Source organism: Homo sapiens, chromosome 11 (genome assembly GCF_000001405.40).
Source record: "Homo sapiens chromosome 11, GRCh38.p14 Primary Assembly".
Lineage (NCBI taxonomy): Eukaryota > Metazoa > Chordata > Mammalia > Primates > Hominidae > Homo > Homo sapiens.
In genome coordinates, this window is record NC_000011.10 from 70,885,306 (window position 1) to 70,907,180 (window position 21,875).

Here is a 21,875-nt window from a genome sequence, read left to right on the forward strand (position 1 = left end):
TGAGAACTGCCCAGGACCGGGGAGCAAAGAGCTGGGAGAAGCTCAGGTTTGGGGAAGAGTTCAACCCAGAAGACGGAAGGAGTCGATCTCTGTGTGCACCATGGGGGATCCGCAGTGGGACACACTTCCCAGCAGCCACGTGTCCACTGTGTGGGAGTCAGTGCGGCCAGGGACTCCGTGTCCTCCACCCAGTCCCCCTGAACAGTGCTCCATTTGGCTGAAGAGGGGACAGGCCGCAGGGCGGGCTCCAGTGAGTAAAGGGGCTGCGCAGGAGGCATGGGGCAAGGGTGTGGACAGAACGTGGTAACGAACATCAACAAAGACAAGGCACACAGAGATGCATGCTGGGCAGGAGCTCCGGCCTCACTGTCACTGCAGCATCCCATCAGGACAAAATCCACAATTGCCCCGGGAGCACCATGTACACAGCATTCGGGGCAGGCCACACAAGACGGCTGATCCTCCAGCGGACACTCCCTGGGCGTCGGTGCTGGAAATCGGCCAAATGTAAAAATACCCTCCCAACCCAACACGCTGGCCACCTGTGGCCCTTACACAAAGCCGGTCACCTTGGATCCCATCCCCGCCAGTCAACTCCGCTTTACAATTTGGAACAAAACTTCTAGACAGATACGCACGGGAGAAAGTAGGACCACAGCAACACGCACGTGACCGACCCCTTCAGCTGACATGAAAATGACACCAAGCAAGACTCCAGAGTGGCAGACGAACAACAGAGCTGGTTATGTCCGGATGAAACCAGCAGCCCGGCATGCGGAGTCAGCACCACACACACACAGACCGGAAACCACACGCAGACTTGCACAGCTCACTCGGTCCCGCGAAGAGGGACGAGACAAGACGCAGGTCAGTCCCAACAGACAGGTCACAGAGGCGGCCGACTGCTCCCATATGCCTTGAAACTGCTGTGTCTGTTGGGGGTTTTCTGTCCTTCCTCTCCGGCAATTTGTTTTGAAAATATTCTATGGGAATCTGGTCAACAGCTGTGTGACTGCTGCAGAACGCTAAGTAAAAATACAATCTTGACTTTCCTTGGGAGGGTTTATTCTTAACATGCACAGGAGGGGACTCAATAACGGGGACCCCGACCACTCTGATCTAATGAAATGAAATAGGTGAGGATTTGGGGTTTTCCTTGGAAGCTGCTGGTTCTACTTGCAAACACAAAGGCTATTGTGATTACTGCAGATCATCATTTGTGTCTCATTGGAAGGAGCACATTTCACAGTCAAAATGCCAGGTAAACTGAAATTTTTCAAATCAGATCTATTTTATTTCACAGCAGGTAGTATCTAGCAAACAGGTATATTTTTAAAGGATCATGGCTCAAAATCAGCCTGAATTTTACTTTCACACACACAATCACACAATCACACACACACACACACACACACACCCCTAACATATTACATTAAGCAATCTGTTTGAAAACACCACCCTCTATTCATCATCTATACATATCTAAAGCATAATTATACAGGCACCCGGTCTTGAAACCTAGCAACAGTATCCAAGTATTCCTTCGTCGGCTAATCAGGCACCCAAACTCACACATCAGCTCAATGTGCCTCCTTTTAAAATATAAAAACCCCTCGCTTCTCTCTCCATAGCTGCGGAAGGACAAGATGTATGAAAACAAACCTTGTTCGGTTGAGGAAGAACAACCCATGTCATTTAATCCATCTGACAGTGCATCTCCCCACAAAGCCGGGCAAAAGCAAAAACAACAAAGACCGTAAAAAATAGGTTATCCCAGTCCAAAGCTTATCAGCTGGCAACATGCTTAATGTGTGCACGACTGTTTCAGATGCGGGCTCCCCGGCACCCGGACAGTCTTGCTATTTGGGATCTCCATCCCACAGAAGCCATCGTCCAGGCTCTATGGCAAAGCTTTTATAACCTGCTGGGCTCATTTACTTGGCCGGCTAAACACTGGACGACAACAAGCAAGGATTAACTGTGGTATTCACGTCCACATTTAAACCATCACTTTCTTCGAGTTGGCAAATAAAATCACCAAACAGAGGTCCCATTTAATTTTTTTTTTTTTTTAAGAGGAAGGGGACAGAAACAGCATCACAGCATCAGACAACAGCAACATACATGCTGGCCGGATTGTGAACAGAACGCTTCGCGGCAGGCTGAAACCTCTCTTTTAAAGAGATACACTTGAATCCATTTCTGGGTTCTACAGACCTCAGAGCACCCATTCATCACCTCACAGTGTTCATTGTCTTCTCCCCTAAAGCCACATTCCAGCATCGTAAGGGCACTGATTTCCTGGCACTGATTGCTTCTGTGTTTGGGAAACAAAGGATCCCTCCTCAGTAGCAGGGAGGCCACTTGATCCTTTAAAGAGACTTTTTAAAGGAAAACATCCCATTGACCAGGCTGTACACGGCAAGTCAGAAAAATGTGTGGTATTTTAATTTACCCACTTTGAAGCACCAACATCCACCCCACACCCACCTCTAGCTTGGAATTTGCTTCCACCAGACCCATATTGAGAAGTGTGACCCAACCCCATAGAGGCAAAGGTGAGTCTCACCTCCACTTCTTGACAGGAGAAAGCTCTGCTTGTGAGCACCAAGGGTTTGCCCTGACGCCAAAGCATGAGCCAACAGCCTCAGGCTTAAGGGACAGGCCTCGCTTCATCCATATGTCTCCTAAGCTAAGTTGTATAAGACAAGTCTTGCTGAAGACCATAATGCAGAAACGCCATGATTCCTGAGGTTGACAGAGATAGACAAATGGCAGGTGAAGAATCTAGAGTCCTCTGGTGATCATCTGACACCACCCACCCCCACCCAAGAGGCCAGGAACGGACAAAAGATTCACCCTGAGGAAGAAGGACTACAGCAGCACCCTGAGGTTATGGAGGATATGGGGTGGAGGAAGCCAAGCCACAGAACCTAGAATCAGGAAGCCACATGGCCACCCACGATCTAAAGCAGAAATCCAGAAATCCCTGGCTTGAGGACTCACGACATCAAACCCAACACAGCCCACTTCCTCCAACTGCCTCCTCTCCTCTGTGCCTCTGAGCTCGGCTGCTCCTGGACTCTGAAAATGTTCGAGTCAGATAAAACATTGCCCTCTCGCAAACACACTCAATGCAGCAACTGATTTGCCAATATGTGTCCCACCCTTGACACTCAAGACCGGGTACCAGGGAAGGCAGGTTTGAGGTCAAGAACAGAGAGTAGGGCCGAGCGCGGTGGTTCACACCTGTAATCCCAGGACTTTGGGTGAGGCTGAGGTGGGTGGATCACCGGAGGTCAGGAGTTTGAGACCAGCCTGACCAACATGGTGAAACCCCATCTCTACTAAAAATACAAAAATTAGCTGGGTGTGGTGGCAGGTGCCTGTAATCCCAGCTACTCGGGAGGCTGAGGCAGCAGAATCGCTTGAACCTGGGAGGTGGAGGTTGAAGTGAACTGAAACCGCTCCACTGTACTCCAGCCTGGGCGACAGAGGGAGACGCCATCTCAAAAAAAAAGAAAAAAAAAAGAGAGAAAGAGGATGAGAGAAAGGCTGACTTGGAGTGAACAAGAGCTGGGGGAGGAGCCATCCATCCAACATGCATTGCCTGAGGCCCCACCACGTGCCTAGCACAGTGGGGACGGTAGAATCAGATACCATCTGTCCTTGAAGAGGTAACAGCCTGAGAAGACAAAAGTCATGAAGCAATGTGAGTTCCCTAGAGTGGGTGGAATGGTGGTCCTCAAAAAGATGGGCCCAAGTCCTAATCCGTGGGACCTAAACTGCACCCTCATTTGGAAACAGGGTCTTTTCAGGTGTGATGAGTTGAAGGATCTCAAGATGAGATCATCCTGGATTTAGGGTAGACTCTAAATTCAGAGACTGGAGTCCGTATAAGGGAAAGGAGTAGGACCTCTGAGATATACACAGGGGAAGCCATGTGAAGACAGAGGCGGAGGCTGGGGTGATGCATCCACAAGCCCAGGAACTTCAGAGGCAAGGAAGGATTCCTCCCTTGGGCCTGCAGAGGGAACCAGCCCTGCCAACACCTTGATTTTGGACTTCTGGCCTTCAAAACAGGGAGACAGTCAATTCCAGTTGCTTAAAGCCACACAGTTGGTGGTCATTTGTTGTGGCAGCCCCGGGAACCGGGTACACAGCCCATCCCTGGGTCCTGAGCAGGCCCACGAAAGATGTGGATGAGCAGAAACGCCTGGCAGGTCCTGAGAAGCAAAGGAGGAGCTGGTGCTGGGACGTCCGGCATGAGAACCACCAGCGGGATTTGAAACCGCAGTTCCAGAGGAACCCTCGACCACTGAGTCAGACTCTGATGGTGGCGCTGGGCATCTGCATTCCACACAAGTTCCCCAAGGGACTCAGATGCACCCCAAATCATACAGGCCGCTGGGCAGCGGGGGCCTCAGTGGGTAGGAGAGGGTTAGGGCAGGCGAGTCAAGATGACAGTCAGGACCAGGACCAGGACCAGGAGTGGGGTGGTTCAGAAGCTGTCTTAGGGGCGGATGCCAGCAACATAGAAGGCTCCTGGGAATGGAGGATGGAGAGAGAGCAGAGGAGGCAGACGCAGCTGGAAGACTGGGGCCAGGACATGGGGGAGTAGGAGCTGCAACAGCCAGAGAAGCAACGTGTGTGGAAAAGCCTGTTTTCCTGAGCGGGTGTGGTGTGTGCTCCCATTAAACAGCAACAGATTAGTAGCTCACTCCACCTAGGAAGGGTGCACAGGATCCACCATCCTTCAAACATCACTTTTAGATCTGGGGGGTAGAAGGGGACAGAGGGACATTATCTTCCATGGTCATCCCCTCCCCCAAAGGGCCTGGGACATGCAAATATTTCTGAATCTCCAAATTAGCACAGGGTCTGTGAAAAAGGTGCTCAATGAAGACTTGTCACCAGGCTGGGCGTGGTGGCTCATGCTTGTAATGCCAACACTTTGGGAGGCCGAGGCAGGCAGATCACCTGAGGTCAGGAGTTCAAGACCAGCCTGGCCAATATGGTGAAACCCCGTCTCTACTAAGAATAGAAAAAATTGGGCCAGGCCCAGTAGCTCATGCCTGTAATCCCAGCACTTTGGGAGGCTGAGGCATGTGGATGATGAAGTCAAGAGATTGAGATCAAACTGGCGAACATGGTGAAACCCTGTCTCTACTAAAAAAAAAAACAAAAAAAACAAAAAAAACAAAAAAACAGAGGCCAGGCATGGTGGCTCAGGCCTGTAATCCCAGTACTTTGGGAGGCTGAGGCGGGCGGATCACCTGTGGTTCAGAGTTTGAGACCAGCCTGACCATCATGGAGAAACCCCATCTCTACTAAAAACACAAAACTAGCCGGGTATGGTAGCGCGTGCCTGTAATCCTACCTACTCGGGAGGCTGAGGCAGGAGAATCGCTTGAACCCAGGAGGCAGAGGCTGCAGTGAGCCAAGATCGCACCACTGCATTCCAGCCAGGGCAGCAAGAGTGAAACTGTCTCAAAAAAAAAAAAAAAAATTAGCTGGGCATGGTGGCAGGCGCCTGTAATCACAGCTACTCAGGGGGCTGAGGCAGGAGAATCGCTTGAACCCGGGAGGCGGAGGTTGCAATGAGCCAAGATCGTGCCACTGCACTCCAGCCTGGGTGACAGAGTGATAGACTCCGCCTCAAAAAAAAAAAAAAGAGTTGTCACGGGAAGATGGTGACCACATAGGTGTTTGAGCTGGTGAGAGTGCAGGCATCTTCAGGACCTGCCATTTCAGGTACCTGACATGTGCAAGTACAGCCTGGGAGAAAGGATGCCTCTCCTCTAGCACAGGCAGTCTGCCTTCCTCAGCGTATGCGGGCTCCTCTCTAGACGGGAAGAGACTGGGGCCATATCGTCCTGCTCAGTTGGTGGCAACAACCACCAACGGAGTGGCTGAAAACCACCAGAGGCCGGGCACGGTGGCTCACGCCTGTAATCCCAGCACTTTGGGAGGCCGAGGCGGGCAGATCACGAGGTCAGGAGATCAAGACCACAGCGAAACCCCATCTCTACTAAAGATACAAAAAAGTAGCCGGGGGTGGTGGCGGGCGCCCGTAGTCCCAGCTACTCCGGAGGCTGAGGCAAGAGAATGGCGTGAACCCGGGAGGCGGAGCTTGCAGTGAGCCGAGATCGCGCCACTGCACTCCAGCCTGGGTGACAGAGCAAGACTCTGTCTTAAAAAACAAAAACAAAAACAAAAAAACACCAGAATTTACTATCTCATAGTTCTGAAGGCCAGAAGTCCAAAATCGATGTGTTGGCAGGGCTGGTTCCTTCTGCTGGTGCTCTGGGTGGACAGCCTCCAAGGTCTCATAGTTGGAATTCTTTCATTCTGTGATCCCACAGAGGTGACTATGCAGCACCAAAAGCGTGTCCTCCTCCCTCCCTCTCTCGGTCTCCATCCCCCAGGGTAGAGGGCCAGGCTGCACCTCCCCTCTGAAGGTCTCCTGGGTGACCATGATGGACCCTCACCCTGACACTGCTAAGAGCATTCTGGGAAGGAGCATCCCAGTGACAATTGAAAATTTCATGGTGGGTGAGAAATGCCACAGAAGACATTCCTCTTTGAAATGTTAATGTGGAAGGTGGAGGAATCTAGGCTTTGCAGAGAAAACAACAGATTCTGTGGGTGAGAAGTTACTCTGAGCCCCGGCTGAGGACAGGGGTGGCCAGGACCAGTTCTGACTAAAACATGATGTCTCTCGAAAGCTCAGAAGATGAGCACCTCAAGCCACCCTCGTGAGAGACCACTGTGAGCTACAAAGGCTTCCCTCGGGGGCTGCCAGGCAGCACCGTCACACCGTCATGAGGCTGGCACCTTAGTCCATCAGTCCATCCATTCTCAGACAACTCTCTCCAGCCGCCAGGCTCCACCCCATGCGGTCTTAAGCATCATCTTCCTCCAGCCCTACCCTGCCTTCTAAGCACAGCTGGGGAGCTGGCTAGGAGCTGACAAATGCTTAGCTCTAGTAATCCTAGAGCGAGGGAGCCTGGATGAGGAAGCAGAGAGGAGATACCCCTCTAACTATGGTGGGGGGGACTGCCCTGTTGGTGATCTGTGGCCCAGGAAGCCTCCTCTTCCCTCTGGCCACCTTCCCAGCTCTGGTTCTAGGTCCAGCCTCTATGAAGCCTCCCCAGCCTGCCCCATCCCAGTCCACACTGATGCCTGCAGCTCTTGTATGGTGGAAGGTTTTTCTCAGCTTCAACAAGGAGGCAGCAGCATGTGGTGGTTGAAAGGACAGGTTCTCAAGGTAAGTACTTCAGCATCAGATGGACATGGGGTTGAAATCTGGTTTGCCCAATTCCTCCAGCATGTGGCTCTGGAAAAGTCCTGAATTTAAGATGTCATCGGTGCCCTGCCTGCATCTCCTTGGCACTCACTGTTCCCAGGTATGTGCACTGCTTACCCCCACAGGCCCCTGCAATTCCCCAAATCCCTGATGGGGGTCTTGGTACCCAGAGGGAGCACGCATAGGAGCTGGAACTGGTGGGTAAATACATGAACTGCTTCATAATGACCAGGCACACCCTCTGCAGGTTCCCAGAGGACCCCAGGGGCCTGAGCCTCCGGGGCCCACAGAGTCAACTGCTCATGAACACATGTGTACAGCTGGTGCCCTGCCCTTCCCTGACTTCCTTCCCTAAGTCCCTGCTGGTGCTTCCTGTATCTCCTCCACAATAAACAACTTGTCCTCAAATCCTCACCTCAAGGTCAGCTTCTAGGGGAGCCCCACCCCAAATGCCATGTCGCCTAGGCTCTTCTACACATGGAGACCACAACTGCATCTGGACGTGGAGGTTTGCATGGCTGTGATGCTGTACGTGAAGTGCTGGCCTGTAGTACTTGGTAAGTGCTAACTGTTTTCACTGTGGTTACTCATTCATTCACCCAGAAGTTGGGCAGCTTTCTTAAACAATGGGCAAAGACCCGCATGCAGGAGTTAGCAAGACACATGCAGGCAAAAAACGCACAAGCTAGTGGGGAAGAGAGTATGAGACCCTCCCCACCACATACCCAGCACCTGGCCCCTGCCAGAGGGGCGATGCAAAGTGGGGGTGACCACAGGGGAGGGGGAGAAGCAATTGGGTTCCAACCTACAGGTTTAGTTAAGAAGGCATTAGTTCAGGATTTCACAACAGATTCACTGTGCTTGGATCAATCAACACATTGAGAGATGTCAGGTTCCTAGAGGACTCAGCCTCCACACCCTTCATCTCTCTCTGCGGGAAACTTTCAACACAATTGATCTAAATGGCACAGTTTTTGTTGATGCCAGTTTGCTAGTTCATAATCACGAACCCTTAGATGACTCAGATGAAACAAGAGGTTTTTTTTCTTCTTCTTCTTTGTAGATGCACAAGGAACCGCATGGGCAAGTATAGATTTTCTAAACTATCCTTTCCCTTTGGGGCCCTGGGAAAGCCCAAAAATCAGGGAACAACAGACACTGACTCCCTGCGTAAGCTGATTGTAAAAGCCAGTCCTGCTTCTTTCCTGCAGGACTGGGGATTTTACAAACATACGGACATGAGAGACTCAAACCTCGATCCTGGCACTTCAAAATATGTTAGTCACGTGAGCCTGTGGTGGGTGCCCCCCTCTCTCAATGGGGGGTGCTGTTTACAGTTAACAATTGATCAGAACAGGTAAAGGGTAATTAAAATGTATTCGCCCAACAAATGGGCATTCCTTTTATAATAATGAAAAAAACCTCTCTGTTCGTAAAGAGTTGTCTGCATCATAAATAAGAAAGGTATTCATAATTATATCCCAAAACTGAAAAGACAACAAGTGTCTCCCAAGGTGGATTGTGAAATCAACTCGGTGCTTCAACGTACTTGGAAAGTCAGCCTGGTTTTTGTTTTGTTTTGTTTTTGTTTTTGTTTTGAGACAGAGTTTAGCTCTTGTTGCCCAGGCTGTAGTGCAGTCTCGGCTCACTGCAACCTCTGCCTCCCGGGTTCAAGCGATTCTCCTGCCTCAGCCTCCCGAGTAGCTGGGATTACCGGTGCCTGCCACCACACCCAGCTAATTTTTGTATTTTTAGTAGAGACAGGGTTTCCTATGTTGGCCAGGCTGGTTTCAAACTCCTGACCTCAGATGATCCACCCACCTTGGCCTCCCAAAGTGCTAGGATTACAGGCGTGAGACACCGCGCCTGGCCCCTCCTGTTTTTGAGTAGGGGGGTTTAGTGGCTGGACCTTACCTTCTCAGAAGGGAGGAAGGGTGGCTGTGACTCCATGGGGCAAGACTTAGGGTCAGGGGTAGCAGCCCCAATATCTCTCAGCTCCATGTGGAGAGCTGGGATAAGGAAGCCACTTCACCCCTTCCTCTTTGCAGTGCAGGCCCCAGTGAGGGTAGCCCAATGGGGTAGCCCTTAGCTTGTTACCATCCCAGACAACTCAGGATCTGTGGAGCTGGCGGGGGCTCTGCCTCCAGGGGTGCCAGCAACAACCCCTGTCGTCATGGGCGGGACCTGTGCTCAGACTCCCTTACCTCCCTTCTTCACTGTGTGCCCCTGGTCAAGAGAGTCCCACTCCCTTCACAGCAGCCGATATTTTTAGCTCTCAAACCAAAGCTATCCTGTGTGCTGCTCTTTCATATTAGGGAGGCAGCAGGAAGACGGTCTCTGGCACTCTGAGAGCTCAGTTCATTTTCTAAATCATTTTGCAGACATTAACTCATCAATCTCTATAACGCGCTCATGGAGGTGCTGAGGCAGCCCTGGCAGAACCCTGGATCTCAGAGCAATTAAGTGATTTGCCCTGGCTCACAGGAGGGATGTGCAAGTCAGTGTCAGGCGCAGCCTTTGGGAGGCCCCGAGGCTCTGCACAGGTGCTTGATGACGCAAGCCATGCATCTGGCTCTGCATCCTCGTGCGGTTCTCCAAGGCGGGGTAGGTACCGGCCGTGGTTGACGTAGGGCACACATGCCACACGGTAAAGCCTCGACAGCCAAACACAGTTCTGCTTTCCCTGATGCCAAAAATGAGGTGACGGGCACAGGCAATAAACGACACCCAGGAGCACCCCCCTGACCCCTTTGATGGGGTGATGCCATCTTCGAAAGCTCACCACTGCCGGTCCAATGGGACTGCTCCCCGCTGCAGGTCCTGTGGAAGCGCGGGGCTGGAGGAAACAGGCCAGTGGGCTCGTCCAAGTTGCAAGACTGGGCCCAGCCGATGGCAGGGCGATGGGAGAGAGGAGGAGCCCCAAAGACTCTCCTCCTGGTTGGCACAAGGGGTACTAAAAAGGGGAATGGCCATCAGCACAACTGCGGAGGAAGTGAAGCAGAGGCAACCAGAGGGGAGCCGAGAGGATGCCACTGGCTCTCTCTCCACCCTCATCGGGTCACCAGCTCTTTGCCTAAATAGAAGCGTGGATGCTACGGCACCTTCCAATAAACACATCCAAATCAGCTGCAAATTAATTTGTTTCAGCAATCAAGAGCCGTGCCCTACATCCATTGCTTGATGCTTAGCACATTCTCCAGTTTGATTTCTTTTCTTTTTAGATTTTTAAAAAAGATGTCATATTTTTAGAGCAGTTTTAGGTTCACAGTAAAACCAAGCAGAAGGAATAGAGCTTACCCAGAGAGCCCCTGCCCCTCACGTGCAGTCTCCCCAGTCATCAACACCCCCCTGGAGTGGGCCATTTGTTACAACTGAGAGCCTACAGTGTCACTCGAAGTCCATAGTTTACATTAGGGTTCACTCTTGGGCTTGTACATTCTACCAGTTTGGACAAATGCGTAACGACATGTATCAATTTTTATCATTAATGGGGAAAATCAGATACATACATCAGATAGGGAATCCTAGAGCCAACCCTTAGCATAAATTAAACACTTCCTGTTCCTCTCCCCATTTTACTAAATCAATGATGTTCACATGGAAAGAAACCTTGCAACAGGGACTGTCAGAATAGATCAGAACATCATCCTTCTAGAGAGGCATGTTTCAGACAGCCTAACCTCTAAGGTCTTCCTTAGCCCCATCCCCACTATAAGTTAAAAAAAGTTAAGACCAGAGACAGAAAATGGGCTAATACTATGTTAAGTTTTGCTAAAAGCAGGCTCTAAACCAATCTTAGGAGAATTTTAAAAAGCTGGTGAGTGACTGATTCCTCAGAGCATCTCCAAACCAAATCCCAACACAGTTTCTCCACGTGCCTACTCACCAATGTCTGTTTCCTTGTGGTTCTTGATGTATTCTGCCAGCTCAAAGTTGCCTGCTATTATGGCCACCTGCAAAGTGAAAATCACATTAAGTTAAGTGTCACCTGCAGAACAATGATTTCTGCATATACTATTACATCATTGAAGGCCTAACACCAAAAGAAGTCCAATCAGAACCTTTAAAATGGCAGCCGCAATATCAACACTCATCCACTCACCTTGCCAACCACCACACTCACTTCTCTCAAAGCAGTTGGCTGTTCTATGATGATAAGGTTGTCGTTGCTCTACAACCTATATGAGTGGGGGCCTCTGTCCAGAAGGCATGTGGGGCAAATTACCCATAGAGCAGCTGAGGATTCAACCAGGCCTGAGTCTGGAAATCTCCCCATTGACTATGTCCTGTGTACCCACGGGGCTTGATTGGTTCCAGCTCTGACACCCCGGAGCCCTGTTTATCTGATTAGATGCATGCCAATCTACATAACTGGAAAGAAGGGGAAACCTCAAAAAAAGCATTTAAAACTCATCAGATTTCAGTTATGTGGGAAAAATTCTACCCATAGATGTATGCACAGCCAGATGAGTGGCACCAAAACCATCACCTACAGGAAATTGTTCCAACTCCGGCCCTACAGATCTGTTGCCTAAAGATGCATGATCTTTGATATGGGAGAGCAGTCAGGCAGGTAAAGCCAAGTATCCTAGGATGGCCATGGAGACCCATAAGGAAGGCCAGGACCAGAGACCACACGGGCAAGGCACACAGTGCCTCAGAAGGAGAGACCTTGGGCTCAGGGCAATACATATAACCCACAAAAGGAGCCAGGCATTCAGATGCCAGCCTGGAGAAATACACATACATCTACAATGCGCTGATGTCAAGTCATAATGTAAGTGGACCTTATCCAAACAGCTGGGGGCCTTATGAGCAGAAATTGAGGTTTCCTATGGAAGAAGTCTTTCCTTAGGACTAAGGCATCAACTCCTGCCTGAGTTTCCAGCCTTACCTACTGATTTCAAATTGGCCAACCTCATAATTATATGAGCCAATTCTTTACAACAAATTATAAACAAATGCAGACTTTAGTGCCAGGAGTGGGGTGTGGCTATAACAAATATCTATAACATCTTCCCAACATGGGCTTACTTCATTTGTTTAATTTAAATCAACCTTTCTTCTTGTGTGTATGAGGTGATCTGGTAAGGTAGGGTGGGTGATTTTTGGTTTTGTGTTTTTTCTTCCTTACTTAGGGCATCTGTAGGCCTCAAAGGACCTTTCCTTTAGGTCATATTCCTCAGAAAGTCTTCGCTCTTCAGTTTTTATTTTTTCTTAAAGAATATTTTTAAAGCTCAAATTTGTGTAATAATTTGGGACTTTATTTAGAATTATTGGCTGCTGGCAGCAGCAGGCTATTCTGAAATGTCTCATAATATACATATACACACACACACACACACACTTTTTTTTTTCTTTTTTTTTTGGCAGGGTCTTGTTCTGTCATCCAGGCTGGAGTGCAGTGATGTGATCTTGGCTCACTGCAATCTCTGCCTCCCAGGCTCAAGTGATTCTTGTGCCTCAGCCTCCTGAGTATCTGGAATTACAGGCATGTGCCACCATGTCTGGCTAATTAAAAAAAAATTTTTTTTTTTGGTAGAGACAGGGTTTCACCATGTTGGCCAGGATGGTCTCAAACTCTTGGCCTCAAGTGATCAGCCTGCCTCCCAAAGTGCTGAGATTACAGGCATGAGCCACTGTGCCTGGCCAAATATATACACACACGCACACACACACACACACACACACACACACATATATATATGTGTATATATATATATGTATACATTTAATAAATATGGTGTTGGTGAAAAAAACCAAATATCTAAAAATATTATGGAAATGCTTTGGAACTGGGTAATGATTACAGGCTGGAAGAGTTTTGAGGTGCATGCTAGAAATATGAATGTTAGAATGATTCTGCTGAGATATCAGATGGAGATGAAGAACACGTTACTGGAAACTGGAGGAAAAGTGATGCTCGTTCTAAAGTGGCAAAGAACTTGGCTCAACTGTGTTCTAGTATTTTTGTGGAAGGTAGACTGTGTGAGCGATAAAATCAGATATTTAGCTGAAGAGATTTCTAAGCAAAGTGCTGAAGGAGCAGCTGGATCCTCCTGACTGCTTATAGTAAAATGCAAAAGGAGAGAAATGAATCGAAGAAGGAATTGTTAAGCAAAAAGGAAGCAGAGCTTGAAGATTTGGAAGATTCTCAGTCTATCCATACGGCAAAAAGTGAAAAAGCCTAACCACATTGCAACAAAACGAACACTGAGGGTATGGCTGGAACATCACTTGATAATGTATGGGATTATAAAAGCAGGAACTCTGCCAGTTTGAATGGAAGGTGATGGAGATAAGACAAATGAAAGAAGACTATCGGACTTAATGGATTTGACAGAAGAGGGTAACAGAGCTGTCTGGTCACAAATGTGTGCTACTCTTCAGGAAGAAGGCAAAATAACCCTGAAAGGAATTCAGAGATCATCAGATCCACCCCTTGGTTTCAACAGTTAGATGGTCTCTGCCCAAAGACTTACGGGCAGGACCACAGGGCAGAGCTGTGAGGTGAGATGGTTTGTGTGTGTCCCCATCCAAATCTTATCTTGAATTATAATCCCCATGATCCCCATGTGTCGAGGGAGGGACCCGGCGGGAGGTAACTGAATCACGGGGGTGGTTTCCCCGTGCTGTTCTCGTGATAGTGAGTGAGTTCTCATGAGATCTGACGGTTTTATAAGTGTCTGGCATTTCCCCTGCTGACACTCATTCTCTCTCCTGCCACCCTGTGAAGAGGTGCCTTATGTCATGACTGTAAGATTCCTGAGGGCTCCCCAGCCATGCGGAACTGTGTATCGATTAAACCTCTTTTCTTTATAAATCACCCAGTCTCAGGTATTTCTTCATAGCAGTGTGAGAATGGACTAAGATGTGGGGGAAGCCTCCTGAGTGGCGGCTTCCCTTGGGCATGAAGGTAGAAAAGGTGGCTTTAGAGATAAGCATGTCTCCAGGCCACATTCAGAGAGTCAGAAGCTGAGGTGCCGTCCTCCCAAAAGGGGGCCATCTCTTCCTATAGCCCACCTCCAACTCAGCTTTGGGAACTCGACTTAGGTGATGTGGACCCATGCCCTGGTCTGCTCAGGCTGAGCCAGACATGTCCTTCTCCAGGTCCCTGATGGTTGTGCTGGCTCAGGATGGCACTAGGCCTCCCTGCCCACAGGCCCAGGCATCTCTCCTGCACTCCTACAGACCAGCCCTTGCCGAATGCCTGAGGTGATACTGGCGGACTGGCGGAGGGATGCGGCCCCAGAGGTGGAGGGCATGGGCTCTGGCCTGGGCTGCCTGGGTGTAAATCCAGACTGGTACTATGTGACACTGGGCATTACGTGTAACCCACAAACCTAGGTTTTCTCACCTGTGAAATAGGTTTGGTGTGTGGATTTATTGAGATCTCACAAGTAAAGGTTTAGAGCAGTGCGTGGCACATGGCCAATCAACCCTAAAAAACTATGCTATGGGCCAGGCGCTGCGGCTCACACCTGTAATACTAGCACTTTGGGAGGCTGAGGCAGGCGGATCACTAGGTCAAGAGATGGAGACCATCCTGGCCAACATGGTGAAATCCCATCTCTACTAAAAATACAAAAATTAGCTGGGCGTGGTAGCATGCACCTGTAGTCTCAGCTATTCGGGAAGCTGAGGCAGGAGAATCACTTGAACCTGGGAGGTGGAGACTGCAGTGAGCCAAGATCGTGCCACTGCACTCCAGCTCGGTGACACAGCGAGACTCGGTGTCAAAAAAAAAAAAAAGTTTGCTATGATTAGAAAAATGATGACTATGTCTTCAAACACTGCAGACTGCTCTTTGTAAAGGTAATCCACCCCCAGGTCACCCAGCGCCCCACAAAAATGCGCAGTCAGATACACACAAGTGCACACCCACATCTGCACTGGAACACACACCTAGGACAGCTGCTGAAATAACACGTACGTGGACCATCCCCTAGTGATTCCGGGATTCTCCTTCCAAAGAAAAGCCCTAGGAGCTTAAGCCCAGGCACCTCCCTGCTGGTCTAAAGGACTCAACTCACAGTGCAAATGAGAACAATGCAAACATTTACTTGTGATAATTGCCTGACTGTTTCTCCCCTTGATGATTTCAAGGCCTAGAAATTCCTCTTGGCAGAAAGCAGCCTCCTGCCTGTCCTCTGGCACTGCCCGCCCTATGCTTGGCTTATCATGGGTTCCCAGTAAAAGTCTTCTGGGAGAAGGAAGAGGGAACTGGGTCTTATGTGACATCTCAGCATTGCTCAGTGTCAGGCTGGTGTCAGGCTCAGCATTGCTGGTGTCAGGCTGCTGGTCTGGGTGCATGAGGAAGGCAGAGTGTGGGGTCTGTCTCTGTGGCTGCAGGTGTGCACAGCAGTGAAAAGAATACTCACAGCAGAGACACAGCCGAGGCTCAGGTGCCACACGCTGCTCTGAGTGAGTTCCCAGGAGCGACCTCTTTTGATCTTAACAGCTCTATGAAGTGGGCACCATTATCTCTACTCGACAGAGGGGGAAACTGAGGCACAGAGCGATAAGGAACGGGCTCCACATCACAGTCAGCACCAAAGTCAAGACATTCACTCAAGCCGTTTGGGTTCAAACTCTTCATCTAATCACCTTAGCTTATAATATGCTGTCATTTTCATGGACTATGGCATTTTTTTAAAAAGTTATGATATAATCACAGGTCAAACACCTTTGTAAAAAATAGAAGCATAAGAAACAACAAATGACAAATTATTCTCGAGGGTTATGACAAGCCACACTCAGGCTGGGCACCCACAGAATCTTCTATGGTGAAAAGTGCCCTGCGCAGGGGAAGGACTAGTCCTGTAAGAACGGACGCTGCTTTGTCCAGGTTTTTCAGAGCCCTAGAGGCCTGGAGGGGAGCCAGTGAAGAAATGAGAACTCTGCTCTCTACAGCTCGCCTGTTTTTCCCCCATTAATTCAACTGTCCTCCTCCTTCCTTGTTTCAAATAACATTTCGGTAATACAGACAGATGCCTACCTGCAGGGTACGGCCATAATGCAACCTTGAGGGGGAAATGTTAGGGTTTAAAGAAACCCAGAGCAGGAAGGAGCCCCTTACCCCCACAGGATGTAGAGAGACTTCCTGTCGCCTCCCTCTGCAAGCCATCGCCAGCTTTGGAGTACCCGGAGAAGGAGCACCTGGTGGAGGTTACAGCTCAGGCAAAGGTTTGGAGGATGGATGTCAGACGTGGTGAATGTGGCAGCAAGACAGGCAAGATGGATGTGTGGTGGGAGGAAGGTCAGAGGTCAGCACAGAAGGCATCGACTGGTAAGTCATGGGAGGAATCCACATGTGAAGCCAAGGGAACCCTGGCTTCTGCGGCTAGGAGGTGACAAGAAACCATGGCCTTGGGAGGCATCTGGGGACAGACCATACGAGGGAGCCCTGAAAAACAGCAACAGGCAAGATGTCTCCATGGCCCGGGGCCCGGCTGGCACTCTTGGACAGACAGGAGGCTGGGAGAATTCAGACGATGGGCAGCCAGTTCTGTGCCATGCCACTGGACAGCAGAGCAGCAGGCGGCCACCCGGGCAGTGTCACTGCACCACACTGGGCATTTGTATGAGACGCCTCACTGGCATTCTAAATCATCCTAATTCTCACTTCCGTATCTGCTGGCTGGGAAGGAGGAAGGCCTTTTATGGACATTTAAACAAGAGTTATGTAACACAAAGCAACAGTCTGTGTTTCTCTTCTGTGGATCTCAAAGGAAAGGGAGGGGCGGGGCCTCCAGGGAAGATGCAGAGGGCATCCTCCCTCGCTGGCCTCTCAGCCAAGTGTGCGGCCGAGGTCCCAGCCCCTGCCGCCTCCCCACCTGTCTCCCTCAGAGCTGGGATTTCTCGCTGTGCCCTTGGGGGCTGCCTCTCAGGGGGCTCCCCTTAGCTCTTGCCCCAAGACAGAGCTAGCATCACTTTCTGGAGCCTTTGCTGTGACCTTATGATTGACATCCTGCATTTGAAGTGTGATCTACAGTTCCAGGCGGCATCGATGGCTGAAGTTTTGTGTGATGAGGGCACCACAGGATTTTTTTTGTGGGAATCACCCCCAGTTGTAAGTCCTCAGTGCCCTAAACTGGGTTTTCCTGGAATGAAGCAATCATATCTGAGATGGGAACCTTTTGCTGGTGCTGACAAAGCCCCCTGCAAGAGTTGGCACTGGGATTAACAAGTAGAGGAAAGCAGATGGACACCCCGCCAGGGGCCCTGGGGGCTCTGCCCTTGGCACTCAGAGCCACAGGGTCCCCTACAGATGCAGGAATGTCAGGAGGGAGCCCACATTTTTTTTCAACAGCAGTCACTCTGCAAGGCAGTGCATCTCTCCAGGAGACAGCACGGCCCCCCTCCACTGATCTACCAGCTGGGGGAGAAGGGGGAGTTTCCATCTATTCTCCCAACTCAAGAATTGACAACCATCTCCTCCTTAGCACCTCAAGTGCTTACACCTAACATTAAGTTAGCCGGCTGGACTCAGTGGCTCATGCCTGTAATCCCAGCACTTTGGGAAGCTGAGGTGAGTGGATCACCTGAGGTCAGGAGTTCGAGACTAGCCTTCCCAACACGGTGAATCCCCGTCTTTACTAAAAATACAAAAATTAGCTGTGCGTGGTGGCTGGCACCTGTAATCCCAGCTACTCGGGAGTCCGAGGCAAAAGAATTGCTTGAACCCGGGAGGCGGAGGTTGCAGTGAGCTGAGATTGCACCACTGCACTCCAGGCTGGGTGACAGAGCAAGACTCTGTCTCAAAATAAAATAAAGTAAATAAAATAAAATAAAATAAAATAAAATAAAATAAAATAAAATAAAATAAAATAAAATAAAATAGCATTATCTTAGCCTCAAGCTTTGAAGCACATCTTTGAAGCCTATAATATGACAATCACAGCCCACTAGGACTTAGGATCACAGAAAGACTGGGGACTCGATCCATCACACTCATCATTGGCAAGCGTCATTGGGAAAGACAGTAGAGGCACCCAGGGCTTGTCCACGAGGGGCTGGGGTCCCGGGGCTCGAGGTTGGTTCAGACCCCTGCCACATACTCTGTGCATGACCACTGGCTGGAAGCCCCGACTTGTGAAGCCCTGTTGTCTCTTCTGCCACATGCATTGCAACACCGCAGAGACTTCCTGTCCCCTCTCTTCTTAAGCCATTGTCCAGCTTTGCAGTACCAGGAGAAGGTGCTGTGTGCCAGATGCAAAGCCCCGCAAAGCTGGTGAAAATGCCACCTGCACATCTTCCTAGAGCCCTGAGCTCTGCCAAACCCCAAACCCTCCTTCTCCCCGAAATGCCCCACTTTGATGCTGTGTAAGCAGGTAAGGCCCATTCCAGGAGCAGCACCCCAAATTCCCAGCACAGACCCTCGACCTGGTGCTTCCTCCAAACCCCTAATCTGTATTAAATTAGGCAGCCCCTGCTATCCACCCAGTCCTTGCACCCACCCCATCAAGGACACCTGTAGACTTCATGGGGGCACTTGTTCCTCGCTTGGTGTTGCCTGCCCCACAAACTCAGAAACAAACCACTCAAGTAGTAAGTGGTGAGAAGGATCAGACTGCCACAAGGTGGGTGCCTGGAAATTATCTGAGTCTCATGCCAAAGGACAGTGCTCGGTGCCCACAGGGCCCGAGCGTGTTCAGGAGGTGCAGGCAGGCTGGGGGCTGGTGAGCACAGCAGGTAAAGCTACATGCTCAGGTCCCGCAGGTGGCGTGGACTGCAATCCCATGCCATCACCTAAAAAGCTGCACCCTCAGCCTCTGAGGAACTTAAAGACCAACACGGGTGACATGGCTTGGCTCTATGTCCCCACCCAAATCTCATCTCATAGCTCCCATAATTCCCACTGTTGTGGGAGGGACCCGGTGGGAGATCTGATGGGTTTTTTTTTTTTTTTTTAATGGAGTCTAACTCTGTCACCCAGGCTGGAGTGCAGTGGTACAATCTCAGCTCACTGCAACCTCCACCTCCCAGGTTCAAGTGATTCTCCTGCCTCAGCCTCCTGAGTAGCTGGGATTACAGGTGCCTGCCACCACACCTGGCTAATTTTTCTAGTTTTAGTAGAGATGGGGTTTCACCATGTTAGGCAGGCTGGTCTCGAACTCCTGACCTCAAGTAATCTGCCCACGTCAGCCTCCCAAAGTGCTGGGAGTACAGGCATGAGCCATCGTGCCCAGTCAATCCGATCGTTTTAAAAAGGGGAGTTTCTCCGCACAAGCTCTCTTTGCCTGCCGCCATCCATGTAAGATGTGACTTGCCCCTCCTTGCCTTCCACCAGTATTGTGAGGCCTCCCCAGCCATGTAGAACTGTAAGTCCATTAAACCTTTTTCTTCCCAGTCTCAGGTATGTCTTTATCGGCAGCGTGAAAATGGACTAATACAGTGGGGAAATGGGAGGAACAGCCTGGGTGCTCTTAGGCATGGCATGGTCTCAGGATGGTGGAAGGTGGAGTGGGGTGGTGCCAGGAGCAAGGACAGCCCCACAGGGACTCAGTACCTGGACAGGCTTGATGGTGGGAAATGAGCCAGCCAGACAGGCAGGTGAGGAGGACCTGGGGCTGTCTGGTTGGTCCTCGCCACAGTTCTCTGAGGATCTGAATTCCACTGCTCCTATTATATCAGGCAACCCCTTTCAAGACAGCTCCCTAGACAGCTCCAGCACTGTGTGCAAAATACCTCCCTGGGCTCAAGACGCCCACCCGCACACCCTTCACTGAACACCACAAAGTGCCGCATCCTATACCACCTAGCACTGAACTTGGCCTGCTGTGATGCTCTTCCTGCTTCATGTAAGCCTGCATTCTGAATGACGAAATGACTCTCCCTGAGCCCAGTGGCCGTGCGGATTTCTGCCATGGTCTGGATATTTGAGGCCCCCTCCGAATTCATGTGTTGAAATGGAAGCCCCAGTGTGAGGGTGTTAGGAGCTGGGGCCTTTGGGAGGTAATGAGGTCATGAGGGTGGAGCCCTCATAAATGAGATTAGTGCCCTTGGAAAAGAGGCTGCAGAGAGAGCCTCACCCCTTCCGCCATGTGAGGACACAGCAAGAAGACCACCATCCAGGAAGTGGGCCCTCATCAGACAGCCCATCTGCTGGCCCTTGATCTTGAACTCACAGCCTCTGGAGCTATAACAGATCCATGCCTATTGTTTATAAGCCACCACCCAGTTTATGTTTTTTTTTTTTTTTTTTTTTTTTTGAGACGGAGTTTCGCTCTTGTCGCCCAGGCTTGAGTGCAGTGGCACGATCTCCAGTCACTGCAGCCTCTGCCTCCTGGGTTCAAGCGATTCTCCTGCCTCAGCCTCCTATGTAGCTGGGATTACAGGCACATGCCACCATGCCCGGCTAATTTTTTGTATTTTTAGTAGAGACAGGGTTTCACCATGCTGGCCAGGCTGATCTCAAACTCCTGACCTCAAGTGATCTGCCGGCCTAGGCCTCCCAAAGTGCTGGGATCACAGGATTGCACCCAGCTCATTTTATGGTATTTTGTGATGTGACAGCCTGAACAGACAAAGACAGCGCCCAGCCTGTTGCACCTGTCACCCAGGCCAGCCCCAGGCTCCGACAAGGTGCCACAAAGCCCTGCCTTCCTGCTCAGGGCTGGGACATGGGCAGCACATGCGAATGCTCTTCACAGTGGTGAGGGCGCCATGGAGCGGGACTGTCGCCTTTGAGTGTGGCTCTCAGGTGGCCAGGGCCCTGGAGAGGCTGTGGACTTGCTGCAGTGCCCACAGTGTGACCTGTTCCCTGACGCCAAGAGGTAGAGCCCAGGCGAGGGTGGAGGCCACCTCTCTCCTCATCACTTGCTCAACAAGCTCCTGGGATCCACAGCCAGAACTCGGAGGAAAGCCACTCCACCGCCCCGACGAAGCCTCCTTCTCTTGCCAAAACGAAATGTGCCTCCCGACACAGAGAGCTATTTAGAGGCGGCTCTGTGATCCTGACACCCCCTCGCCATAACTGGAAAATGGCTTCTCGGAAAGGCACGAGAGAAACCGAGCACTTGGGATGTCCCCGTCTTTGTTTCCTTCCAGATAATGGTGCTTCATTTATTTCAGACTCCTGTGGCAACTCAGGAAGCCACTGATGCCCAAAGACCCCAGGGCCTGGTAAGAATGTTTTAATTACAGGCATCCTCCAAGCACGGCAGGGAGTGGGCCTGGGCTCCTGGCTCACCAAGGTCAGGGGTCGCCGAGTTCCCCTGCAAACTTCAAGGGAATCTCTGCCCATCCCCAGGCTAAAACCCAGAATCTGGAGAGGCAGTTGAGGCCTATGTCGTTCCAGAACAGCTCCCTGGGGCTTTGCGAAAACCCCATGCAGGGCCAGGGCCTTTGCAAATCGATGTGTATTACCCAGAAGCCCCTGGTTGCTCCGGGACTTTACATCTAACTTGACAGGGCTGACCAGATAGAGCCAGGGCTGACTCAAGCAATGTCCACAACTCCTGAAGTGCCGGCTCAGGGGAGTCGTGGGCCAGGACCCCCGGCCAGAGGAAGCAGCTGGGGACTGGGAAGCTATTGTAGGAGCAGTTCCATGCTGGGTGACCCA

The 21,875-nt window shown here is 50.6% G+C and overlaps 1 protein-coding gene across 20 annotated transcripts in view, besides 4 other annotated features; it reads right to left on the reverse strand.

The window, feature by feature from the left end:
- SHANK2 (SH3 and multiple ankyrin repeat domains 2) overlaps positions 1-21,875 on the reverse strand; it is a 785,381-nt gene that overhangs the window by 417,452 nt on the left and 346,054 nt on the right. For 19 of the 20 annotated variants that reach the window (NM_001441030.1, NM_001441032.1, NM_001441037.1 and 16 more), the window contains one exon: positions 11,196-11,262. In NM_001441030.1, the coding sequence (NP_001427959.1) occupies positions 11,196-11,262 (67 nt within the window). Of the gene's footprint in view, positions 1-10,091; positions 10,263-11,195; positions 11,263-21,875 lie in introns of all 20 variants that reach the window. The other variant, NM_001441024.1, reaches the window with a different exon arrangement.
- Positions 727-1,226: an enhancer, noted in NCBI's record as "H3K4me1 hESC enhancer chr11:70732137-70732636 (GRCh37/hg19 assembly coordinates)". NCBI's record gives its function as "activates a minimal SCP1, AML or CMV promoter by ChIP-STARR-seq in primed H9 embryonic stem cells {active_cell/tissue: H9 hESC(primed)}" and the evidence as "EXISTENCE:reporter gene assay evidence [ECO:0000049][PMID:30033119]".
- Positions 6,456-7,381: an enhancer, noted in NCBI's record as "H3K4me1 hESC enhancer chr11:70737866-70738791 (GRCh37/hg19 assembly coordinates)". NCBI's record gives its function as "activates a minimal SCP1, AML or CMV promoter by ChIP-STARR-seq in primed H9 embryonic stem cells {active_cell/tissue: H9 hESC(primed)}" and the evidence as "EXISTENCE:reporter gene assay evidence [ECO:0000049][PMID:30033119]".
- Positions 20,445-20,946: an enhancer, noted in NCBI's record as "H3K4me1 hESC enhancer chr11:70751855-70752356 (GRCh37/hg19 assembly coordinates)". NCBI's record gives its function as "activates a minimal SCP1, AML or CMV promoter by ChIP-STARR-seq in primed H9 embryonic stem cells {active_cell/tissue: H9 hESC(primed)}" and the evidence as "EXISTENCE:reporter gene assay evidence [ECO:0000049][PMID:30033119]".
- Positions 20,947-21,446: an enhancer, noted in NCBI's record as "H3K4me1 hESC enhancer chr11:70752357-70752856 (GRCh37/hg19 assembly coordinates)". NCBI's record gives its function as "activates a minimal SCP1, AML or CMV promoter by ChIP-STARR-seq in primed H9 embryonic stem cells {active_cell/tissue: H9 hESC(primed)}" and the evidence as "EXISTENCE:reporter gene assay evidence [ECO:0000049][PMID:30033119]".